At 44.8% G+C, this 22,403-nt stretch overlaps 1 protein-coding gene and 1 long non-coding RNA gene across 6 annotated transcripts in view, besides 6 other annotated features; one reads left to right on the top strand and one right to left on the bottom strand.

Moving 5' to 3' along the window:
• The window catches only part of LOC101929256 (uncharacterized), a 62,244-nt gene extending 54,773 nt beyond the window's left edge, over positions 1–7,471 (bottom strand). For both annotated transcript variants that reach the window (XR_001747405.2, XR_001747404.3), the window contains exon 1: positions 7,283–7,471. This is a non-coding gene — a long non-coding RNA (uncharacterized LOC101929256). The remainder of the gene's footprint in view (positions 1–7,282) is intronic.
• The window catches only part of JCAD (junctional cadherin 5 associated), a 102,692-nt gene that overhangs the window by 49,186 nt on the left and 31,103 nt on the right, over positions 1–22,403 (top strand). Inside the window, exons 1-3 of one of the 4 annotated variants that reach the window (NM_001350001.2) lie at positions 6,723–6,827; positions 18,438–18,777; positions 21,486–21,525. Coding sequence is in view for 2 of the 4 variants with exons in the window: in NM_001350022.2 (NP_001336951.1) it covers positions 18,497–18,777 (281 nt within the window). In the remaining 2 variants the exon portion in view is untranslated. Of the gene's footprint in view, positions 1–6,722; positions 6,828–18,437; positions 18,778–21,485; positions 21,526–22,403 lie in introns of those variants that run through there. The other 3 variants (NM_001350021.2, NM_020848.4, NM_001350022.2) reach the window with 3 other exon arrangements.
• Positions 2,875–3,169: a silencer, noted in NCBI's record as "tiled region #14462; HepG2 Repressive non-DNase unmatched - State 22:ReprW". NCBI's record gives its function as "represses a minimal TATA promoter and a strong SV40 promoter by Sharpr-MPRA in HepG2 cells {active_cell/tissue: HepG2}" and the evidence as "EXISTENCE:reporter gene assay evidence [ECO:0000049][PMID:27701403]".
• Positions 6,611–6,780: a silencer, noted in NCBI's record as "silent region_2263". NCBI's record gives its function as "represses an Ori minimal core promoter by ATAC-STARR-seq in GM12878 lymphoblastoid cells {active_cell/tissue: GM12878}" and the evidence as "EXISTENCE:reporter gene assay evidence [ECO:0000049][PMID:35858748]".
• Positions 9,065–9,602: an enhancer, noted in NCBI's record as "NANOG hESC enhancer chr10:30345636-30346173 (GRCh37/hg19 assembly coordinates)". NCBI's record gives its function as "activates a minimal SCP1, AML or CMV promoter by ChIP-STARR-seq in naive H9 embryonic stem cells {active_cell/tissue: H9 hESC(naive)}" and the evidence as "EXISTENCE:reporter gene assay evidence [ECO:0000049][PMID:30033119]".
• Positions 18,684–18,793: an enhancer, noted in NCBI's record as "active region_3199". NCBI's record gives its function as "activates an Ori minimal core promoter by ATAC-STARR-seq in GM12878 lymphoblastoid cells {active_cell/tissue: GM12878}" and the evidence as "EXISTENCE:reporter gene assay evidence [ECO:0000049][PMID:35858748]".
• Positions 18,804–18,863: an enhancer, noted in NCBI's record as "active region_3198". NCBI's record gives its function as "activates an Ori minimal core promoter by ATAC-STARR-seq in GM12878 lymphoblastoid cells {active_cell/tissue: GM12878}" and the evidence as "EXISTENCE:reporter gene assay evidence [ECO:0000049][PMID:35858748]".
• Positions 22,126–22,398: a silencer, noted in NCBI's record as "fragment chr10:30332840-30333112 (GRCh37/hg19 assembly coordinates)". NCBI's record gives its function as "represses an EF-1alpha promoter that drives an FKBP-Casp9 reporter gene in an ReSE screen in K562 erythroleukemia cells {active_cell/tissue: K562}" and the evidence as "EXISTENCE:reporter gene assay evidence [ECO:0000049][PMID:32094911]".

The raw sequence follows: 22,403 nt of genomic DNA, 5'->3' as shown, positions 1-22,403 counted from the left end.
ATGCAGATTCAATCTCCTCACAGTGGAGGTATAGGATTGAAAAATTGTTTGTCACTCTCTTCTTGGTCCCCAGCATTGTAGGTTTTGTTTCAGTTAGCGTCAAATCTTCTAAGCCAACAGTAAACATCTAATGCACTTGATTAGTGAAGGATGTTGCTATGTGACTCTCCATCATCATACAATGACGTTCACGGCTACTGTCTTTGCACTGTATACTACGTGTCAATCAATCCATTCCTCTCTTGACACAGATCATTTCTATTTATTGTGCTCCATCCCTGCTTCTCACACTTTACTGTATGTGAGAATCATCTGGGCATTTCCTTAAAGTACACATTCCAGGATCTCAAAGGTAGAACTTAGAAATTCTGATTGCATCGGTTTGATGAGGCCCAGGAATTTGGCCTTTAGTCAACTCTCCCTCCCCCAGTTGATCCTGGTGTAGGTGGTCCATGGAGCAGACTTTGAGAAACAGATTTCTAGTTCTTGGTTAAAAATAATTATGCAGGGCTGGGCATGGTGGCTCATGCCTCTAATCCCACCACTTTGGGAGGCCAAGGTGGGAACTTTGCTTGAGCCCAGGAGTTCAAGACCAGACTGGGCAACACAGGGAGAGCCCGTCTCCGCAGAAGATACAAAAATTAGCTGGGCATGGTTGTGTGTGTCTATAGTCCAGTTACTTAGGAGGCTGAGGGAGGAAGATGGCTTGAGCCCAGGAGGTCAAGGCTGCAGTGAGCTGTGATCACACCACTGCCCTCCAGCCTCAATGACAGAGTGAGAGTTCATGTCAAAAAAAAAAAATTATGCGATATAGTCTGTGAATTAATATAAAGCATAGCAATAACTAAAAACAAGTGTTATTAGCACTTGTTGACATAAAATCCTTTCTAGATTTTTTTCAATTTGGCAGCTTTTTATTTATTTATTTAATACATATTAGATGTAGATATTTTCAGGATCCATGTAATAATTTGATAAATTCATATAATCAAACCAGGGTAATAGGGACATCCATCACCTTAAATATTTATCTTTTCTTTATGCTAGGGACATTCAAAGTATTCTCTTCCAGCTATTTTGAAATGAACAATTGGTTAATGTTAACTATAGACACCGTACTGATATATCAAATGCCGGGTCTTATTTCTTCTAAGTGTATATTGTATGTATTAATCAGCTTCTTTTTATCCAAACCCACCCTTCCTGGCCTCTGGTACCCACCAATATACTCTCTATCCTCACAAGATCCTTGCCAGTTTCTGTGTAACCACTATTGCCTGACTTTCTAAAACAAGCCAACAAGAGAGACCTCAAGGTTTTATCGAGAATGTGGGGTTTTGGCCGGGCACGGTGGCTCACGCCTGTAATCCCAGCACCTTGGGAGGCCAAGGCGGGTGGATCACGAGGTCAGGAGTTCGAGACCAGCCTGACCAACATGGTGAAACCCCGTCTTTACTAAAAATACAAAAATTAACCAGGCGTGGTGGCACGTGCCTGTAATCCCAGCTACTCAGGAGGCTGAGGCAGGAGAACTGCTTGAACCTGGGAGGTGGAGGTTGCAGTGAGCTGAAATTACACCACTGCACTCTAGCCTGGGTGATAGAGCGAGACTCCATCTCAAAAGAAAAAAAAAAAAGAGAGAACGTGGGGTTTTTTTGGTCAATGGGTACAAAGTTTCATTTAGGAGGAATAAGTTCTGGTGTTCTATCTCACAGAAGGGTAACTGCAGCTAACAAGTGTATTGTATATTTCAAAATTGCTAGAAGAGAGGATTTTGAATGTTCTCAACCCAAAGAAATGGTAAATGTATAAGGTGATGGCGTATTAGTCCTTCCATTGCTTATAACAGAATACCCGCAGGTGGGTCATTTATAGAGAAAAGAAATTTACTTTTTACAGTTATAGAAATTTATTTCTTGTAGCTGAGAAGTCCAAGGTCAAGCGGCTGCATCAGGTAAGAGCTTTCTTGCAGGTGGGGACTCTGCAGAGTCAACCTAAGGTGGTATAGGGCATCACATGGTGAGGGGCTGAGCATGCTCACATGCTAGCTCATGTCTCTCTTCTTCTTATAAAGCCACCAGTTCCCCGCCATGATAACCCATTAATCCATTAACCCATTAATCTATTAATCCATGAATAGATTAATCCATTCATGAGGGCAGAACCTTCAGGATCCAATGATCTCTTAAAGATCCCATCTCTTGGGCTGGGCGCAATGGTTTTCACCTGTAATCCCACCACTTTGGGAGGCTAAGGCAGGCAGATCGCAAGGTCAGGAGTTCGAGACCAGCCTGGCCAACATGGTGAAAACCCAACTCTACTAAAAATGCAAAAATTTTCTGGGTGCGATGGCACTTGCCTATAATCCCAGCTATTCAGGAAGCTGAGGCAGGAGAATTGCATGAACCCTGACGCGGAGGTTGCAGTAAGCCGAGATCACGACACTGCACTCCAGGCTGGGCAACAGAGCAAGACTCCATCTTGAAAAAAAAAAAGATCCCATCTCTCAACACTGCCACATTGGGGATTAAGTTTCAACATGAGTTTTGGAGGAAACAAATATTCAAACTATAGCAGATGGATATGCTAAACACCCTGATTTAACTATTACAGAATGTATACAAGCATCAAAACATCACACTGTACCCCATAAATATGTACAATTATTATGTGTCAGTGAAGACAACAAATTTTTTTTTTAAAAGAGCGTTAATCTTTTAAAAAATGAGAACTGGTAGTGTCTTTACAGACTAAGAAAAACAAAATCAATATCTAAATCAGCTAAAGGAAACCTTATAGTCTACAGAGAAGGGCCCTAAAGCAGGGAGGGAGGAGGGTTGCTCTAGGTCCTTGAACAGGCAGTAAGTTAGAGAAACAAGATCTTGGCTTTTATTTTTTTTCTTTCTTTAAGCAGGCGGTTAAACATTATTTTTCTGGTTACTGCACATCTGCCCAATGACTCAATAATCCAAGTTCCTTCCTGAGTCTGTGAAATCCCTTCTCCAGGACTCAAGAAAGGCGGGGACATTGGGCATCCAGGGCTGGATCCTGGCACATGCTCCCAGGGCTGTGCCAGACTTCTAACAGCTTCATGTTAAATGCTGTTTTCAATCATAGTTTATATTTTACATCACATAAGCGAGTTTTTTTTTTTTTCCTGTGTTTAAATCTCCCAAGATCAAGTAAGTGGAAGCAAGAGACCCAAATTGCAGGAAAATGGGAGTGGGTAGGGATAAGGGAATTAGGAGGTTAGGCTTGTTTCTCTCACGTCTTGCCCACCATCCCTTGTCCATGTACTGGTGACCGGTGTGGAAACTGGCCCAGTGGATTTTCCTCATTACCTTTTATCTTTATTATCTTCCTACATTTATGATTAATCACCTGCTCATACTCATGCATCTTTTCAACCTTACTCTCTGATATGGTTTGGCTCTGTGTCCCACCCAAATCTCACCTTGGGTTGTAATAGTCCTTACGTGTTGTGGGAGGGACCCAGTGGGAGGTAATTGAATCATGGACGCGGGTTTTTCCCATGCCGTTCTTGTGATAGTGAATAAGTCTCATGAGATCTGGTGGTTTGATAAAGAGTAGTTCTCCTGCACATGCCCTCTTGCCTGCTGCCACGTAAGGCGCGCCTTTGCTTCTCCTTTGCCTTCCACCGTGATTGTGATGCCTCCCCAGCCATGTGCAGCTGTGAGTCCATTAAACCTCTTTCCTTAATAAATTACCCAGTCTTGGGTATGTCTTTATTAGCAGCATGGGAATAGAATAATACACCCTCTTTCCTCTTTGTTAATTCTATTCCCAGATCTTTAGAAAAGCTTTCCACCTTTCTGCTTGCCCCTCTCCCCACATCCACAGCCTCACCACCATCTTCTCTCTCCATCTTTTCATTCTGCTTCTTTGTTTGAAATGGCCTTAGTCATGCCAGGAAAACATTAGAGCAGGGCTAGGGATACATCAGTACTGAGGAAAGACGGAAGCCAAACATTTTGAAATGAGGATGTTAGGATAAAGAGCCAGGGTCAAGAAACTACAAGCATCTTGAAATTGTGAAGTCATCTTCTCTAGAATCTCCAGTATTTCAATCCCATTACATTCCCCTAATTGAATCTGCCTTTGCCAGCCTTTCTGCTAAAATACAATTTCTTATTAAACTTGATTTGGTTTGGTTTAGCTTAGCTCCTAGCATTGAATCAGTGTTGTTTTCTGATTTACTGCAACCCTACTCTGTTGTTTTGCAACTCTACAGCCCTTAGGTACATTATAAAACTTCCATGGGGTTGACCTAGAAACCCAACAATATGACATTGTTCTGTGGGGAAACACATCCTAATCTCAATTCACTGACTGATAAATGTTCTAGCAGGAATACTTGGCTCCCTAGGTGTCTGCACCATGCTGGGCACATAGAGGTGCTCCACCCCAGGACAAAGTTATTTCATTGAGTTGGCAAATTGAGGAGAAACAGGAATTCTATAAGTCATTGAAGAAATCCATCATCGAATGATGCTTTTTTGACAAGAAGTAATATCACTGCTGTTAATAACTGTGACTCCCCAGAAAAAAAAAAAAAAGTCTGCATTTCCTTTTCTATCTTTTAAATTTTGTCGAATCCTATTTTCCCAGCCTTTGTGTCTCTCCCTAGCCACAATCCACTTGTCCTTCAAAGTCTTCCCTGGTGGTTCCAAGTCAAACAGCAGTAGCTGTACAAGTGTTAATGGTAGTAGCTACTATTTTCTTTTCTTTCTTTTTTTTTTTTTTCTTGAGACAGAGTCTCACTCTATTGCCCAGGCTGGAGTGCAGTGGCATGATCCTGGCTCACTGCAACCTCCACCTCCCGGGTTCATGTGATTCTCCTGCCTCAGCATCCCGAGTACCTGGGATTACAGGCACCTGCCACCACGCCCGGCTAATTCTGTATTTTTAGTAGAGATGGGGTTTCACCATCTTACCCAGGCTGGTCTCGAACTCCAGACCTCCGGTGATCCGCCTGCCTTGTCCTCCCAAAGTGCTGGGATTACAGGCATGAGTCACCATGCCCGGCCACCATTTTCTTGACTATTACATGTACCTGAACTAAGTGATAAGAAGGCATCATCTCATTGAATTCTCATGACTCTCCTATGAGATGCAAACCATCATTACCCCCACTTTGTTAGAGAGGAAAGTGAGGCTAACAGAAGTAAAGTACCACATCTAGAAAGTGGCAGAGAAGCCAAGCCCGGGACCTGAGCTACCTGGTTCTCGAGCCCCTAATCATGCTGCCTGCTCCTATCGCCACCATCTGGTTTCCTCCCACGCACTCCTGATAATGCACAATACAACATTCAATTACATTGTTCGTTCTTTTCCAGCAATAGTGTGTTTAGCTTTTATGCTGTGTTAGATTATACGTTGCTACTAACCATGAGGAACATATGATTCAAGAGAACAAAGAAACGACCTTGCTCTGGTGGTTCAGAGCGAGGGTCTTGGGCTAGATTCTGCAGCTTGCCATCTGTGCCCGTCCCTGAGCCCACTCCTCATCTGTAAAGTGGTGCCCATATCATCAAACTGTGATGAGGATTAAAAGAAATAATACATAGGAAGGGCTCAGATGTGGTAATAGAGCAAAAAAAGTTAGTTATTGGTGTTTCGACAGCAAATACAGTCCTAAAATCATGATGTGGCTAAGTAGTTTTCTGAAAACTAATTTGGCAAGGTCACCAGTCTGCTGTGCCATCCATGTTTTGTCTGGGTGGACTTAACTAACATTCCCTGTCTCTCCCCAATGCATCAGCAATATTTCACATTTTTTGTCTTCTGTCTGCCTTCCAAAATTATGAAAACGTTCGCCCTGAGCAGACCCAGGCAGCAGTCTAATCTTTCTGCCCCTTCCCGCTGTAAGAGAAATATGGAGTGGGTTTGGGGTTACCCAAATGACCCCAAATGTTCATTCTGGTCTGAACTCTCCCACTGACCTCCTCCTATCTCTCCTCCTACCCCTGCCCTGTAGGCAAATCCTGCTCCTGTCATCAGTTTCCTCCTCTGCCACAGGAGAGTATGGGCCAGCTGATCTGAAGGTGGCTTCCAGACTCCTTCAGACTTTTTTTTGAAAGAAGTAAATCCCAAGCTGTTGTCACCATCACTGTTTTCTGCTCTTCATAATATCGATGTGTTATGTGGGTGCGTTTGTGTGTGTGTGTGTGTGTGTGTATAGCCATACTGTGTTCCCATGTATGTATGTATATGTGTCAGTGTGTTTGGCTGCATCTGTGCGTGACTGTATATGGGTGTGTTTGTGTGCACCTGCGTGTGACTGTATTTGAGTGTGTGTGCACTTGTCTGTGACTGTGTGTGCACCTGTGTGTCCTGTATATGTGTTTGTGTGCGCCTGTTTCCTGTGAGTGTGTTTGTGTGCATCTGTGTGTGGGTGTATATGAGTGTGTTTGCATACATCTTTGTGTGTTTGTGTGATATGAATATGTTTGCTTTCTGTGTATCTGTGAGAGTGTGTGTGTCTTTGGACATTTCCACAGGGTTGACGTGGCCCAAACCCAAGTGACAAGAAAAGAGGGAATGGTGGTCAGCTCACTTGTGCCTTCTGCGCGACCCACGCAGGCGGACCCCAAAAGCCTAGGAAGCTCGTGGCCTGGATACCGCCCTCAGCGCAGAGGAGGCAGCCCCGGGCGGTGGGCGGGGCGGGCCCGGGCGGTGGGCGGGGCGGACGGCGGTTCTCCGGGCATGCTCGGCCTCGGCGGCTGCAGGCGGGGCGGGTCGCGCTGGTCCCCGGCCGGCCGGAGCGGCGGCGGTGGCGGCGCGAGGCGGCATGAGGGAGCCGCTCGGTAAGTCCCGGCGTCTAACCCTCCTGGCTCCCACCGTCCATTAGGGCCGCTCCCACGGCGCTTCGCGGGCCTCACCCGCAGCCTCCCGCACTCCCCCCAACTTCTCCAGCTGGGACGTCGCTCCGGTTCCAGCCACCCTGGCGGTGGGGGATGTCTGCACCCCCAGTCGCAGCCCCGCCTGGGCCCCCCGCGCGGTGCCTAGCCCGGCAGCCTCGGGGTGGAGGGCGCCTGCCAGCCCGGGAGGGGCGTCCCCTCCCCTCAGGTGCCCCGCTCGGAGCGCGGGGGTCCCGGGGCGGGCACCGCGGGCCGCGGCTGGCGTTAGCGCTCGCGTCGCCCCTCGGCGCGCGGAGGGCCTGGGGGGCCGGGGTCACTCACTCCCCTCTCGAAGTCGCCCTCCCCAGCCTGTGTCCACCAACCCCTCCCGCGCCCTCGCGCCCAGATCTCGCGGACCTCACCCCAGAGCTGACAGCCGCCGCGCTGGGTCCCCGAGGTCCCAGTTCCCACGCTGCCCCGGCCGTCTGGACTGCCCGGGACGGTGGGGGGCTCCCGCCGCGGCCCCGCTCCCGCTCCGGTCTCTGCGCGGTCTGCGCTGGGGATTAGGGCGCTAATCGCAGCTGCCTCCCAGCGAGTGCCCGGGGCCGCCCGGCTCCTGGCTGCGCGTGGGATGGGAGAAGGGCAGGAGCCCCGCCTAGGAGTGCTGTAAATCCCGTTAATTATCTCATTTATGGGATCTGGAACCCGCCCTCCTAGGGTCTCTGCGCTCAGATCTCCGCGGGCACCCTCTACTTCCCCCGTCTCCAGTCGGGGTCCGTTCACCCCCAAAATGCCAGGGTTTGCCTCGATGCCCTGGCCACAGTGGGGCCCAGCACTAGCTGCTAAAAAGCGCCCCTCTCGCTTCCGTCAAGAAGCAGAGCGCCTGGGATTCTTCTGGGCATTTGTAAAGAAGCTGTGATTTCACTACTGAAGAAGAAAATAAAAACGAGAACTTTAGGCCAGCGCTACCTGGGCATGCCCTGGTGTTTGGTCATCCACGCGCTTAAGGAGTAGAGAGGCCTTGGGGGAATTAGCTTGGGCACATCACCTCCCCACACCTACACCCACTCTCCCACCCCCGCACGCACTCCACCCGCCTCCCGTGTCCTCATTCCCTCCCCAAATCTAGTAGCTTGGTCTTAGTCTTGGGGAGAGGGGTGGGGCGGTGCAGACCACACAACTCCCAGGGTTTCCTGTCCTGACAGTTTAATGTGATGTTTCTCCCACAACTTGTTTTCCTTCTCCGGTCTTTTGTCTTTTCAGATTTACAAGGAATAGATAACCCAGAGATTGAGGGCTAGGGTTGCAAAATACAGGGATTTGGGGGAAGGGGCCTGATGGGTAGGATTCGGGCAGCCAGAAATGCTCTGGCAAAAAAAGGCAGTCTGCATGGTGTGAACTGAGGGTCATGGGCTGTACAGGTAAAACTTTGGGAATGTCAGTTCATTTTAGAATTTTAAGACCACCCGGCAAAGCAAGAATGCATACAGGCTTTTTTGGAAATCATATGCAGATTCTATTTCATTGGACTTGTGTTGGTTTTCGTGTGACATTGGGAGTTTGTTAAAGTGGTTTGGTTTTCCATAACGTCTGTGGATTGGGACTTAATTATTTACCTTGACATTAGGTGTCTAATTCTTAGTCACCAGCTTAACAAGCTTCCTGAAGTCTCTAAGTGTCACTGTGGGCATGCAGCATGTAAGAAACTGTTACTCCGCCTGGAGTGGGCGAGCAAATATTTGTTGAACAGAGGCCTTTAATCTGCTGGGCCTTCCTCCTGTAAAACTTCACCCTTTGCTGCAGAGACTGGAAGGTCAGGCCCTTGGCAGGCCCAGGAGAATTAGGGGATTTGGGTGGGTGGAGAAAGCCTGTTTCGGGGAAAAAAGAAGTTTGGCCTGAGTGTCCACATGCTCTGGATGACTTGACAAAGTCATCAGGGTTATCAAATAGCTCATCGAGTGGTCACAGATTCCAGAAGCCTGTGGTCTATTGTTCGGCAGCTATAAAATGTAGCAGGGTTGGAGGTACACAAGGAAAATAAATAAGGACCAATTTTTTCACTTAAAAAAAGTAAATATGAAAAGATTCTTGTAGTCTAATTTTTAACATGCAATTTAAAAATAAATCCTAGAAATGTTATCAGTACAGAAAGCCCAGAAGTCTGTGGCTCCCCCAAGTTCTCACTGGCCAGTTTGGGAGGACAGTAAACACCAGTCATCCTTAGGAGTCCTTAGTTTTTCTTTTAATGAGCTTGGCGAAACTCCATGCTAATTAATCTGGAGAGCGTTTAGAACACAGAGCGTTGGAGTGAAACAATTGTTCTATTGTGTTTTTTATTTTGATAAGCAAAGACTATCTCTCTGAAGTCCTCTGGGCCTATTGCTGAACCCATTACTGCAGTTTACTTGGGTTTTTAACAGATGTTGTTTTTCCTCCTTTGGATGAGAAGGGTTATCTCTCTCATTAAAACCTTGCTCTTGTGCTTTGTTTCAAGGGCCTGCTGATGGAAGGAATGTTGAGGTCCACTGACTTGCAAACGCCAGCAGCCCAGGGAGGGGAGGTGTTGGGCTTTGATATATGCTTTAAACACTAAATGGTGTTTAGAAAAATACAGGAACCCCTCCCCCAGATACTAAAACCTCAATTATCTTGATTTGAATTGAAGATGTCTTGTTAAAAATTTGGATTATCTATAACCAAATATCTTTCCCAACAACTTTCTATAGATATGCTTGGGAATAGCCTGGTTAAATCAATAGGCTGGCAGATTTGTTATCAGATCGTGAAGTATCCTTATAGTTTTGGGCTTATTGGTTGTCTTTATAGTTTACCTGTAAAGATTGTTTTTTCTGTATGTAAATGAAAGAATTTAGATACTATTAGGAAGAAGCACCAAGATACATTCCAAAGAAGGAAAGAAAAAAAAAAAAGCAAGCAACTTGTCTGTGTAGGAAGAATAGTTAGAGAAACAGAAACCAGATTGTTGCTACTGGTTATCTCTTGGCACAGTGGGGTTACTAGGAACTTTTCCTTTTTACTTAAGCACTGAGTTTTGCAGTGTTTACTTTTGAAATCACTTTACATGACTTTTGTACTTAGGAAATAAATAGAAATGTAAAGATCATATGAAATAATTTAAGTCAAACACTTTGATAAAGACTTGGCTTTTTTTTATTCTGAAGATATTTAAAAACAAAACCAAAAGAAGGGTAAGTTTAATGGAATATTTAAGGTATCTTTACATGTGGAGCTTGACATACATGATGATAAGGGAATAAAACTCTAACCTATGATGATGTTTTACAGCTATTTTTGCAAATAGCCAAAAATTCCAAAAGATTTAAAAATCTTATCCAGTTTGAGTCCTTTCTTAATGACTTCTAATCTTTCAGAAATGTTAATGAGGTACTTAAGGTCTCATAAAAATATTGCTAGCCAAAGCAATAATTGTGTGACACAGAATTTAGAGGTGAAAGAGAAGACAGGAGAAAGAGTGTGTGTAAGTGCATGTGTGTGTGTTCACATTAGTTGTGGAAAGAAAAAAAAGAGGAGTCAGAAGGGATAATACTTAGGAAAAAAATTCAGTGCATAATGTTGGGGACTTTTTTCTTTTTCTTTCTCTTTTTTTGAACAAATGCCTTAATACCAATCCACCCCAGCAAGATTAATGTTCCAAGGTCCTTTTGATCTTAGACACAAGTTTTCCAACTCATTTGTTTTTTGTCACCTTAAAGAAACCTAAGGATGTCCTCCTAAAATGATTACTTCACAGATTAAGTATGATTTTTTACATCTTGTGAGATTTTAACAACTTGACTGCCTTGGCAGAGTTGGTCATCACACGTGTGGTATGGTAACAGCAGTCTGTGAGAACTTGGTGTCCCAGGACTTCAACTGGGACTGTTGCGTTATTTAATAATTAAGACTGGAAAGGGAAATAGCAATTCTATTGTTCATAGTAAAATACACAATTCTACCCTTAGGAAAAAATCTGTGGAAAGCATTAAAAACCTACGTGTCAGTTAGCAACATACTCCATTCTGGTTTGTTTTATGTCTTGGTGATTTACCTCTTGTTTAAAGAAAGTACTTTGTTATATATTAATCATAGCATTAGACCTAAATGTTGTCAGTTGAAGAGATATTTACACTGAACTGCCAACAATTTGAGGGACCAATTACATCTTAAGCATGGAATGTCAGTGAATACAACTGAAAAGTTTTAGGTCTTTTAGAGGAGTAACAATGTCTAATTAAGACCTTTTTAGAATGCTGGTTGTAACCTTGTATTAGATTTCTTCAGCAGCACATGTGATTTTGGCTTCCTGAAAACAGGTTAAGAGTCTCTCTGGCAGATAAGGCACATGTACCATATACTAGAGCCTTATGTGATTTACTACTCATTTATTCTTTTCTTCAATGTTTCTTTTATTGTCATTGAGGCTTCCAAATACCTAACCTATTTTTAAAGATGCATTTTCGGCCGGGCGCGGTGGCTCACGCCTGTAATCCCAGCACTTTGGGAGGCCGAGGCGGGCGGATCACGAGGTCAGGAGATCGAGACCATCCTGGCTAACACGGTGAAACCCTGTCTCTACTAAAAATACAAAAAATTAGCCGGGCGAGGTGGCGGGCGCCTGTAGTCCCAGCTACTCCGGAGGCTGAGGCAGGAGAATGGCGTGAACCCCAGGGGGCGGAGCCTGCAGTGAGCCGAGATTGCGCCACTGCACTCCAGCCTGGGCGACAGCGAGACTCCGTCTCAAAAAAAAAAAAAGATGCATTTTCCTCATCTAACCTAAGCAGCATTTCATTTATGAAAGTTTTTTTCTGATGATGAAATAGTTATATATAACTTAATTAAGTTATGTAATATGTTAATATATTAAGTTATGAATAATGATGATTGGTGATGAAACAATATTGTTATATTAAATTATATAATAAGAATGTGGATATTATATATGTTGTTATATATACTTAAGTTAATATTAAGTATATAAAGTTAAGTATAGTAAGTATATGAAATTGCCAATATTTGACTATTTTTGACCTGCAAAATGACAATTTCATATGATTGGACCTAATACATTTCATGACAGAATATCATAAGATTCAGTAAAGTATAAATAAGGAAATTTTTCAAAAACTCAGAGTCCATCACCTCTGCTGACATTTTGGTATGTTTCCTTTCAGTGTTTTTTCCCCTTTCAAGTACATATGTATATAAACAAATTTGGTATGACATTGAATCTAGGGTTCTGTATCCTGTCTTTATTATTTAGCGTGGTATCACGAGCATTTCCCTGTGCTGTTGTATACCTGAAAACATAATTTTATGTATGTGTATACATATTATAGTCCACTATATGGATGCACCAGAATTTTTTTTTGAGATGGAGCCTCATTGTCGCTCAGGGTGAGGTGCAATGGCACGATCTCGGCTCACTGCAACCTTTGCCTCCCAAGTTCAAGCCATTCTCCCACCTCAGCCTCCTGAGTAGCTGGGACTACAGGCGCATGCCACTACACCTAATTTTTCTTGGATTTTTAGTAGAAACGGGGTTTAACTGCGTTGGTCAGACTGGTCTTGAACTCCTGACCTCGGGTGGTCTGCCCACCTCAGCCTCGCAAAGTGCTGGGATTACAAGTGTGAGCCACTGCACCTGGCCCAGAATTTTTTTTTTTTTTACTAAATTAGACATTTAGTCTAATTTTGTTATTATCATAATTAAAACTGGGATAACTATCCTTATACAAAACAGTGTGTATCTCTGATTATTTCATTAGGACAGATCCTAAGAAGTGAGATTATTCCATAGGGTTTCAGATGTTTAAAGATTTTGTTACATATTAATAATTCTTTTCTTTTCTTTTCTTTTCTTTTTTTTTTGAGACAGAGTATCCGCTCTGTCACCCAGGCTGGAGTGTAGTGGCACAATCTCCGCTCACTGCAGTTTCCACCTCAGGTTCAAAGGATCCTCCCACCTCAGCCTACTAGGTAGCTAGGACTACAGGTGAGCGCCACCACGCCTGGCTAATTTTTGTATTTTTAGTAAAGGTGGGGTTTCACCATATTGGCCAGGCTGGTCTCTAACTCCTGACCTCAAGTGATATGCCTGCCTCAGCCTCCCAAAATGCTGGGATCAAAGGTGTGAGCCAGTGAACCTGGCTAATCACTTTTAAGAAGGGAAATACTCATTTTCATTTACATATAGCCTGCACCCCCCACCCCCCACCATTTATACACACACAAACAGGAGAACCCTTATAGCTCCTCATGCCCTTACCAACAACAAGCATTGCTTTTTAAAAGCTTTAATCATCTCATAAGTGAATAATGGCATTTTGGTTTAATTTGCATTTCTTTGATTACAGGTGAGGGTGACCATGCTTTTCATCTTTTTAATAGTATATTTGTCTCTCTTTTTAAAGTTAATTTTTAGTTTGTGTTCTAGGCCAATTTTAAAAAGGAAAAAAGTTCTGGTTGATTTAATGAGTTCCTTAATGTTTTGTTTCCTTTCACTGTCTTGAGCATTATAACTGTAAATATGAGAATTAAAATGCTTATTTTTATAAATGGAAAGGAAGGAGAAGATGGTACCTGTTAAATGGCATTCATTTGCCAGTCCTAACCTTTAGTGATGAGAAGATCCGTAATTGAAATAATACCACCTAGACCATAGCATCGCAAGGGAGGGTGCTGACGGGGTCTTATTTGTCTTTATATTCTTCAGCCCAGTGCCTGGCACTTCCAATGTAAAACAAGTGCCCTGATGAATTTACGTTGGCGTAAGCGTGCAGCACCCGCACTCTGGGATGGAGAATTGCTGGATGTTTCGCTCCTGGCCTGCCTTCCCTAGCCCACTCCTTTCCTCAGTGGGTGGCCATTTATCCCTACTCTCTTGGGTGGCCTCTGCATGGGTGCTAATAAGGCCAAGGTCAGAGGTTCTGTCTTCAGATGACCTATTTAGCCCTGTTCTGTGTCGTGGCCACAAGCTGTACTCTTTTTCCTGGGGCAGCTGACTTCGATGCCTGCTGCTCATCACAGGCGAGAATAGGCTAGAGAAAGGGGCCTGCTTCCTAGAGCTAGAAGGACTCTAAAGAACCTCTAGTTCAGCCTTCTCATTTTACTCCTTCAGGAGAAGACTGAGACCCAAAGGGTTCTCTCCTTTCCTCCTGTGCAGTGACTCAGGCTTGATTCACCTCACAGATAAATACCGTGCACCATGGAGAAACAGACACTCATCCCAACAGCGAAGCGGGAGGTAACCCAGCCCCATGCCCAATGTCAGTGGATCGTTAACAGCAACTTCCTAATTCTATAATCCCTTCCATTTGAATAGACACCATAGAGCTAATATTTAAAGAACTTTGAAAAGGTGCCATGCAATAAGATCACTGCAAGTGGTCTTATTCAGGTTCTTTGGAAGGACAAATCATTAATCTTTGATGAGAATCCATTTGATGATTTGGGGAAAAGAGAATTTTGTGAGACTAGGTTGGTTAAATCAAAATAAAATGAGCTGTCATCTTCTCAAACCAACAATTATTTTCAGTTTCTATATTTCTATTAATGGAATGATCATTATCCTCGTCACTGAGGCTAAAATCCATTGTACTTCTTCTCCTGAAAATTACTCTTATTATTCCTTTTTTTTCTTATCCCCTCTGCCAGCCCCCTGTGCATGTTACAATAGAAAGGACTTGTAACTACAGGTCCCCCATCTGTTCTCGCTCTATCCACTTTAGTCCCCTGCTTTTCTGCCAGATTTCCCTTGCCCAAACCCATTTGTAGTTTGCTGTTGTCTATTCAAATTAAGTCCAAATTCTATTAATGTTGCAGATAAGAATGGCTATTTCTATATAGGACTTTTTTTTTCTTTAAGAATTTATTTTTTTAAAGTTACTCATCTCCCACTTATTATAGATGTCGTTTGTATACATTTCAGTTTCATACAGCAGGCTTTATGATAGCCCCATGTTATTTATGAAAAGCTCAAAACTCCAAATGATGAAAGAGGTCTGTTAAGGTCACAAGGCAATTGCATGGTGTATTCAAGAACGAATCATATTACTGAGCATTTAAACATTAACACCAGCGTTGCCATCAAGACATTATAGCCAAGTGAGGCATCAACTCTTGTGTGTGTGTGTGTGTGTGTGTGCGTGCGTGTGTGCGTGCGTGTGTGCGTGTGGTGTGTGAGAAGAGTCATCTAGAAGAGCCATTCTGCTCCTAGAGAATAAAGGAGAATTTTTTTCCTTTTAAATATATGGTTTTTAATTTTAATGCCACCATGCCTTCTCTCTTAGCTTATTTATGTGTATGGATTATTTGGTAAAGTAGGAAACTTTTTTGATGTTAAGGAAGAAAATATAGATGAGTGAACCTAAATTAGTAGCCTGAACTTTGAAGCTAGACAGACCCAGTTCAAACCATGGATCTAACACAAGCTGTGTAACCTTGGACTGTCAGCCTCAGTTTTCTTGTGAAAATGGAAACATTCCTGTCTACGTCGAGAAGTTTGCTGGAAGCATAGAATGAATGAAAGTGTGCCAGTACAGAATCTAGCACATTACAGATGGTCATGAATAGTTGATGTTATTAGATTTCATGTGTGCTGCAATCCTGGGTTTATAGTTCAGGTTTTTCCTTGGAGTTGGTAGAGGAAGAGTTTATTGGGCTGGTGGGGAGGGAAGAATCAGTTAACTACGATTGAAAGATATTCTTGCTAAATATAATTACCATGCAAACACATAACCATATTGGACCAACCTATCCAGCCCCAGGAAGAAAATGGCCCACATCTGTGTTTTGTGAGGGTTATGTCTTCTCTGCCATTCTGACAAATGGACTGTAGCACAACCAGCTGTGTGCTGCACATGCCTGTTCCTTAGTGTATTCGGTGGCCATTTGGAGTACAGTGCAATTTGCTTTTATTTTAAAGAGCCCGGCATAGTAAGAGAGAGAAACTGAGTGTTGTGAGACCTAATGCTAACTTTAACTGTGATGCTGACCCTGTGTGTGATGTTGAACCAGTGAGCCTGGGGACTTTGTTCTAGTCTGCCAGGATTCTGTTACTAAGCCATTAATTTCTTTTCTTTCTTTCTTTTTTTTTTTTTTTTTTTTTTTTTTTTGAGACAGGGTCTTGCTGTGTCACTCAGGCTGGAGTGCAGTGGCATGATTTTGGCTCATGGCCACCTCCGCCTCCAGGGTTCAAGCGATTGTCCTCCTTCAGGCTCTTGAGTAACTGGGATTACTGGTGTTTGCCATCATGCCTGGCTAATTTTTGTATTTTTAGTAGAGACAGGCTCTCACCATGTTGGCCAAGCTTGTCTCAAACTCCTGGCCCCAAGTGATTCACCCACCTAGCCTCCTAAAGTGCTGGGATTATAGGTGCGAGCCACTGTGCCTGGCCCCATTTCTTTACCCTTGGGATAATTCTACTCATAATCTATTTTAAATGCCAGTTCCCCTTCTCATACACAAACACATGCTCTTTGCCTAATGAACTCCTAACCATTCTTCAAAACCTAGCTCAAACACTTCTGTCTCTCATTTGTGCATTTTCTCAACAAGTATTTATTGAGTTCATACTGTGTGCAAGTTGCTGGGGATAAAGCATCAAACAAACCAAAGACCCTGCCCTAAAGCCTGACTCTGTGTTCCTAAAGCCCTTTGCTTGTGATGGGATCTCATTCCTCTGTAATCCCTCCCATGGTGGAACTTACTCTGTTGAATTAAAGAACAAACCCTTGCTTCTCTGGTCCTTCTTTGTCTGTTGAAGCAAATGACCCAAGTTGTACAACTCCTTGAAAGACATGCAGTAGGAGTGTCAGGAGTGGCAGAGTTGCTATGGAGATTTTTCTATTAGTACAGTAGCTGCCAGAGCTTGTCAGCTTCCATAAAATGTAGGGACATAATGGAAAATTATCAACTTCCAAAGTTTGATACTCTCCATGCTGACAGGCGAGACTTTCCCTACTGTAATCTAGCAGGTGATGAAGAGTGAGGACAGGCAAGCAGAATTGTGCGACAGACCCGAGTAAGAGCTCCCAGTGACAGGAAGCACATGCCGCAGGCATCTTCCTTTCACCTGCACACGGGCCAGCAGGCGTTTCCTGGCCATTGTTCGCCATGGCTGCAGCGGCTCTATTTCCGTCCACCAGTGAAGTGGGGTTGGAGCTGGCTGAGCTTTTTGATGGGGCTGGCTTTTGTGGCTTTTGTGTGTCTCTCACCCAGGCCAGCATTACCATCAGCCCCCGTAGAAGCAGTGGTGGGTGTATCCGTCTGACCAATCCGTCTTACGCCTTATCATCAAAGGGAAGACTTAGGAAGAAAGATGTTCTCATGTAGGAATAAACAGGGCGGCTCTCCCTCTTTTGCTCGTAGGTAGGTTTCTGCCCATTTTCATTCTTCTTTGTGGGTACTCTTGTTTTGTGCAGTTTACACTGGAGGAAGTTGCTGCTGTTGATTCAGGTACTATAGCAGGATTTGGGTGTGGACATCCTTGGCTGAGAGATGCAAAAACTTTTCCCCAAGATCTACTGGGAAGAAATTTGATTCATAAAAGTTTCATAAGGAGGCCGGGTGTGGTGGCTCATGGCTGTAATCCCAGCACTTTGGAAGGCAGAGGCGGGTGGATTACCTGAGTTTAGGAGTTCGAGACCAGCCTGGCCAACATGGTGAAACCCTGTCTCTGCAAAAAAATACAAAAAATTAGCCAGGCGTGGTGGCATATGCCTGTATTCCCAGCAACTCGAGAGGCTGAGGCAGGAGAATCGCTTGAACCCAGGAGGTGGAGGTTGCAGGCAGTCGAGATCATGCCACTGCACTCCAGCCTGGGCAACAAGAGTGAAACTCTATCTCAAAAAAAAAAAGACTTTCATAAGGAAAAGAGAACTCTGGGCTTGTGTAGTGAATTGGGTGTGTATGATTGATCAGTGTGTTGTTTTCTCGTCATGAACCCAAAGAGTTAAAATCTATTTTTGGTTGCTAGTTAACTGCCCCGGGGTGGCTGCCCTGGCAGTTGCTGTTTCGATGGCTTCCGCTGAATTGTATCATGACTGTGTTGATTAAAGATCTCACTCTCTCCTAGAGCAGAAGGTATGTCTACAAGATGAAAGCAGGGGCGTGTCCTAAGATTAAGCTGGATATTGGTGGTTTCTCTTTTTAGAAACATGAAGCAGTCATTGCAGCTCCCAGGTCTGTATTTTTTTTGTCCGCACTCCTTCCGCCTGCTGTTTGTAGGTGAGTGGGACAAGGGGAAGGTGGACAGTGTTAATCATGTCACTGCTTAAGCACCGTGCCACATGCTCTTCTACCAGAGGCAGCCATCGAAGGGTGAGGTCCTCAGGGTTCCACCACATCATTTAGAGTCAGAGCCACACCCACTTTCTAGGTGAATAGAATGGAGAGTAATTTCAGGCAGAGCCATCCCTGTGTCCCCTCTTTCTGTGCAGGTTCTGTGCTGTGTCCATCGCCATGGTCTGGTTTGGTGGGGGGACCACGGGAGGAGGAGGTGTCAGACTGACCTCTAGGGAGACCTAGTCACAAATAGAGCTCTCTGTTGTCCTGCAGTGCTGGGTCCTGCCACCACCATGGTTCCAGTGGTTGAGCTTTGCTGAAGCCCAGGCATCATGTACAGTGTAGAAGACCTCCTGATCTCTCATGGATACAAGCTGTCAAGAGACCCCCCAGCATCACGCGAGGATAACCCCAAGGGGCGCCAGGCAGCGAGGACTGGGACACGAGCAGGCCAGGGCCTGCAGAACGGGCATGAGGATGGCCCTGCGGCCCTCGCACATCGTAAGACGTCCGCGGGGAAAGGACATGTGAGTGACTCCGAAAGCCGCCGCAGCACACCGAGAGGCCACGGGGAGCCCCAGAGCACTTCTGCTTCCAGAACCTCGGAGGCGGGGTAAGTTTCACTGTGAACCCACCGTTTTCTTTTGACTCAGGAGTTTGGCGGTGGGTGATGTGTAGGTAAACTCTTTCAAATCTATATTTGGCCAGGGCCAAGGAGGGAGAAATGGTATTAGACACAAGAACACTTTTTTTGCTTTTTGTTTTGTTTTGTTTTTGAGACGGAGTCTTGCTCTGTCGTCCAGGCTGGAGTACAATTGTGCAATCTCGGCTCACTGCAACCGTCTCCAGGGTTCAAGCAATTCTCCTGCCTCAGCCTTCTGAGTAGCTGGGATTACAGGCATGTGCCACCACACCTGGCTAATTTTTGTATTTTTAGTAGAGACGGGGTTTCACCATGTTAGTCAGGCTGGTCTCGAACTCCTGACCTCGTGATCTGCCCGCCTAGGCCTCCCAAAGTGCTGGGATTAGTGAGCCACTGCACCCGGCCACCTTTTTTAGAGACAAGGTCTCACTCTGTTGCCCAGGCTGGAGTGCAGTGGTGCAGTCATAACTCACTGCAGCCTTGACCTCCTGGGCTCAAGTGATTCTCCCACCTCAGCCTCTCGAATAGCTGGGCCAGGTGCACACAACCACACCTGGCTAATTTTTATTTTTTGTAAAGACAGAGTCTCACTGTGTTGCCCAGGCTGATCTCTAACTCCTGGCCTCATGCAGTCCTCCCACCTCAGCCTCCCAGAGCACTGGGATTAGAGTCATGAGCCACCACACCCAGCCCAAGATCACTTGTTTCCACTGTGATATTCAGGGTGTTCCAGCAGCACTTAGCACAGGGCTTGGCCATAATGGGCCTTCAATAAATAGCAGTGAGTAAACACATTCTGTCATGCTAAATGCCATGTGTTAGGACTCTGCTTCTTGGTTCCCTTGTAATCTCTTCATCTTGCCTCAGATAGGAGTCATTTTAGAACTTTGTAAAAGCTATTTCACAACCACGCACCCATTCACAGTATATTTGGCTTTCTTATTAACACAATTCAATATTTTGCAGGTTACAGAGAGTGAAAAGGGCTCTGTATTCCCCTCCGTTTGTAAAACAAAACGTTTCTTCTGGTATATTCATATCATTCCATTGGCTTCTGACCTATCTTTTCCTTGCACGCACACTGGCCCTAATGTGGGCATCCCATCTGAATACAGCTGCATCTGTGGGTGTTTCCTTACAACAAAAAGAGAGGGCGGTTTAGCTAGGGGAACAGGATGGTAAAAAAGGAGAGAATTTCGGCAGCTTGCCACAGAGCCAGGCTGGGAGAGGAGCCCTGAAACCCTCTCCCAGGCGGTTTCCACCTGGAGGAAACCTTTGTCATCCCTTCCTAACACTGTGTTTGCCTTTAGTGCTGCACTGGGACCAGGCACAGATTGGGGAGGAAGAGCTCTGAGTCTACAGAGCGTGTTATGTAACTGCATGTCAGCAGTTAGATATGGACAAAGGACACAGACGGAATCAGGGACCTTTCTTTAAGAAAAACAAACAAACACACAAAACAGGCAAGTCTGATGGGAATGAACTCGCCTTCCATGGTTCGAGGTCACCCTTGCAGACAAAGGACCTTCCTTGTTGGTTGACAGTTTTCAGGCAAAAATGGGAAGGATTTTGTTTTTAGTCAGAGCACTTAACACATTATTGGAGAAAAGCAAAGGTGAGAGCCCTCGTTTCTGCCCAGCGTAGTAAAAGCAGGTTTAAGTTGCCAAGTCAGATGCTTCTCCAGCGAGGAGCAAGAGGAGTTAGCACTGATGGAGCCAGGCTCAGGGGGGAAAATCACAATGAAGAAGGGGCTGGAAGCTGTTTCTCTTTCACCTTGTGCTTCAGAACTCACACTTCTGTCGACTACTGTCAAGGCCTTCACTTTCTTGGCTGCCATTTTCCAGCATGGAGCTGGAAAAGGGGTCTTATGGGTGAGTTGTCTGAGGGTTCAGATAACCTTAGTGACTACCACACAAACGGGTGCTTGTTTTTGTTTTGTTTTTTCATTTAGTTTTCTGCTGAGTATATTTGTACCTTCCAACTTGGATATCAAGGTACTGAGATTGTACCTTGTCTCCTATTTCTTTTGTTTCTTGTACAGAGTCTTACAGTACAGGGCATATATGGTTATTTAATACATGCTCATGTGCTCAATTTATTCTTTCCCCAATTGTAGCAACTGTTGAAAAGCAGAACGGTCAGTTTCTAATGAAGTAAAGACAGGGCTATGGAATCCCTGCAGATGGACCATGTAGGTTACGTGGGGTCTCCCTCAAATTTGAGGGGCTGGATCAGAGTTGAGTCTCACGGTGGGAGGCAGGAGAATCCCCTTTAGAATTCTGTGTGGGCAGTGTGGCCGCCAACCTCATCCACAACTCGCTCAGGACTTTCTAGCCCCTTGTGTGGTAACAGGTTCCTGAGGACTACGGCATAATCAGATCTGCAAGCTGCCTTTGTTTCCATCCTGAGTGAAGGGCTCAGATAAGTGGCTTTGTGTAGCCCTGGGATGTTTTCATACAGATGACAGAGTTCTCGACAGATCTGGCCTCTTGTCCATGTTGTTGAGATTGGCCGATTCACTTAGATGGTGTAGAGTGGCTTTTGGATTGAAGGTTGGCTCCTAGGGTAGAAATAGCAAATGCATACATGTTTGCAGACATCCCTGCCAGTGCCCCAAGCTTCAGAGACTGGCTGCAAGGTTCCCTGGGTTGAAATGAAAGACTTTTTTTTTTTTTTAGGTGCCCAATAGAGAACTGAAAATTGGAGGGAAACAGAAAGGTAGGCATGAAGGAGAATTGTTTTTCCCCATCAGAAACAAAGTGCTTTGGGAAAAAGTAAATAGGTGTCAATAGTTAACAGCTTAAATTTAAAAAAAAAAAAAAAAGCCAATACTGCTATGGCTTATGTGAATTCTGAATCTGATGAATAAATGGTGCTGTCAGATCCCAGTCTTTGGTTACTCAAAAGCACAGCTGTGGTCTTGCTGCCTCCTCCATCCCACACAGTGACCTCTGCTGGGCTGGCCTCCCGGTCTAGGGGGTACCTGGGGCCCGGGATAGCCCTGTCCAACTTGAAGCCATCAGCGTGATTGGGAAGGGTCACGAGAGTTCCTCTTCTGCAGTTTCTTGGTTGAGGGCTGCCTTAAAGTGTGTCCCCACACTTTGAGCCAGTCCTCAACACCCCACTCATGTCCTGGGAAAGATGGAGATCAAGGTCATTTGGAAGGCCACAGGGGCTGAATGAAAATTTGTTTTATTCTGACAGAATAGTGGAGACCTAGGCATGTTGGCAATATTATTATCTTAGAACTGAAGAACATTGCATTCATCCAATGTGTGCTGCTGTAACAGGCTGGGTAATTTATGATGAATGGAAATTTATCAGTTCACAGTTCTAGAGGCTGGGAAATCCAGGGTCAAGGTGGTGGTATCTCATGAGGGCCTTCTTGCTGTGTCATCTCATGGTGGAAGGTGAGAGAGTGAGATCAAACAAGAGAGGGCTGAACTCATCCTTTTATAAGGGCACCAATCCCACCTAGGAGGGTGGAACCCTCATTACCTCATCACCTCTTAAAGGTCCCACCTCTTAATACTGTTACAATGGCAATTAAATTTCAACAGGAGTTTTAGACAGAATAAACATTTAAACCATAGCCA

The sequence above is a fragment of the Homo sapiens genome, chromosome 10 (genome assembly GCF_000001405.40).
Source record: "Homo sapiens chromosome 10, GRCh38.p14 Primary Assembly".
In the NCBI taxonomy this organism is placed as follows: domain Eukaryota; kingdom Metazoa; phylum Chordata; class Mammalia; order Primates; family Hominidae; genus Homo; species Homo sapiens.
This window is presented reverse-complemented; position numbering and strand designations above follow the sequence as displayed.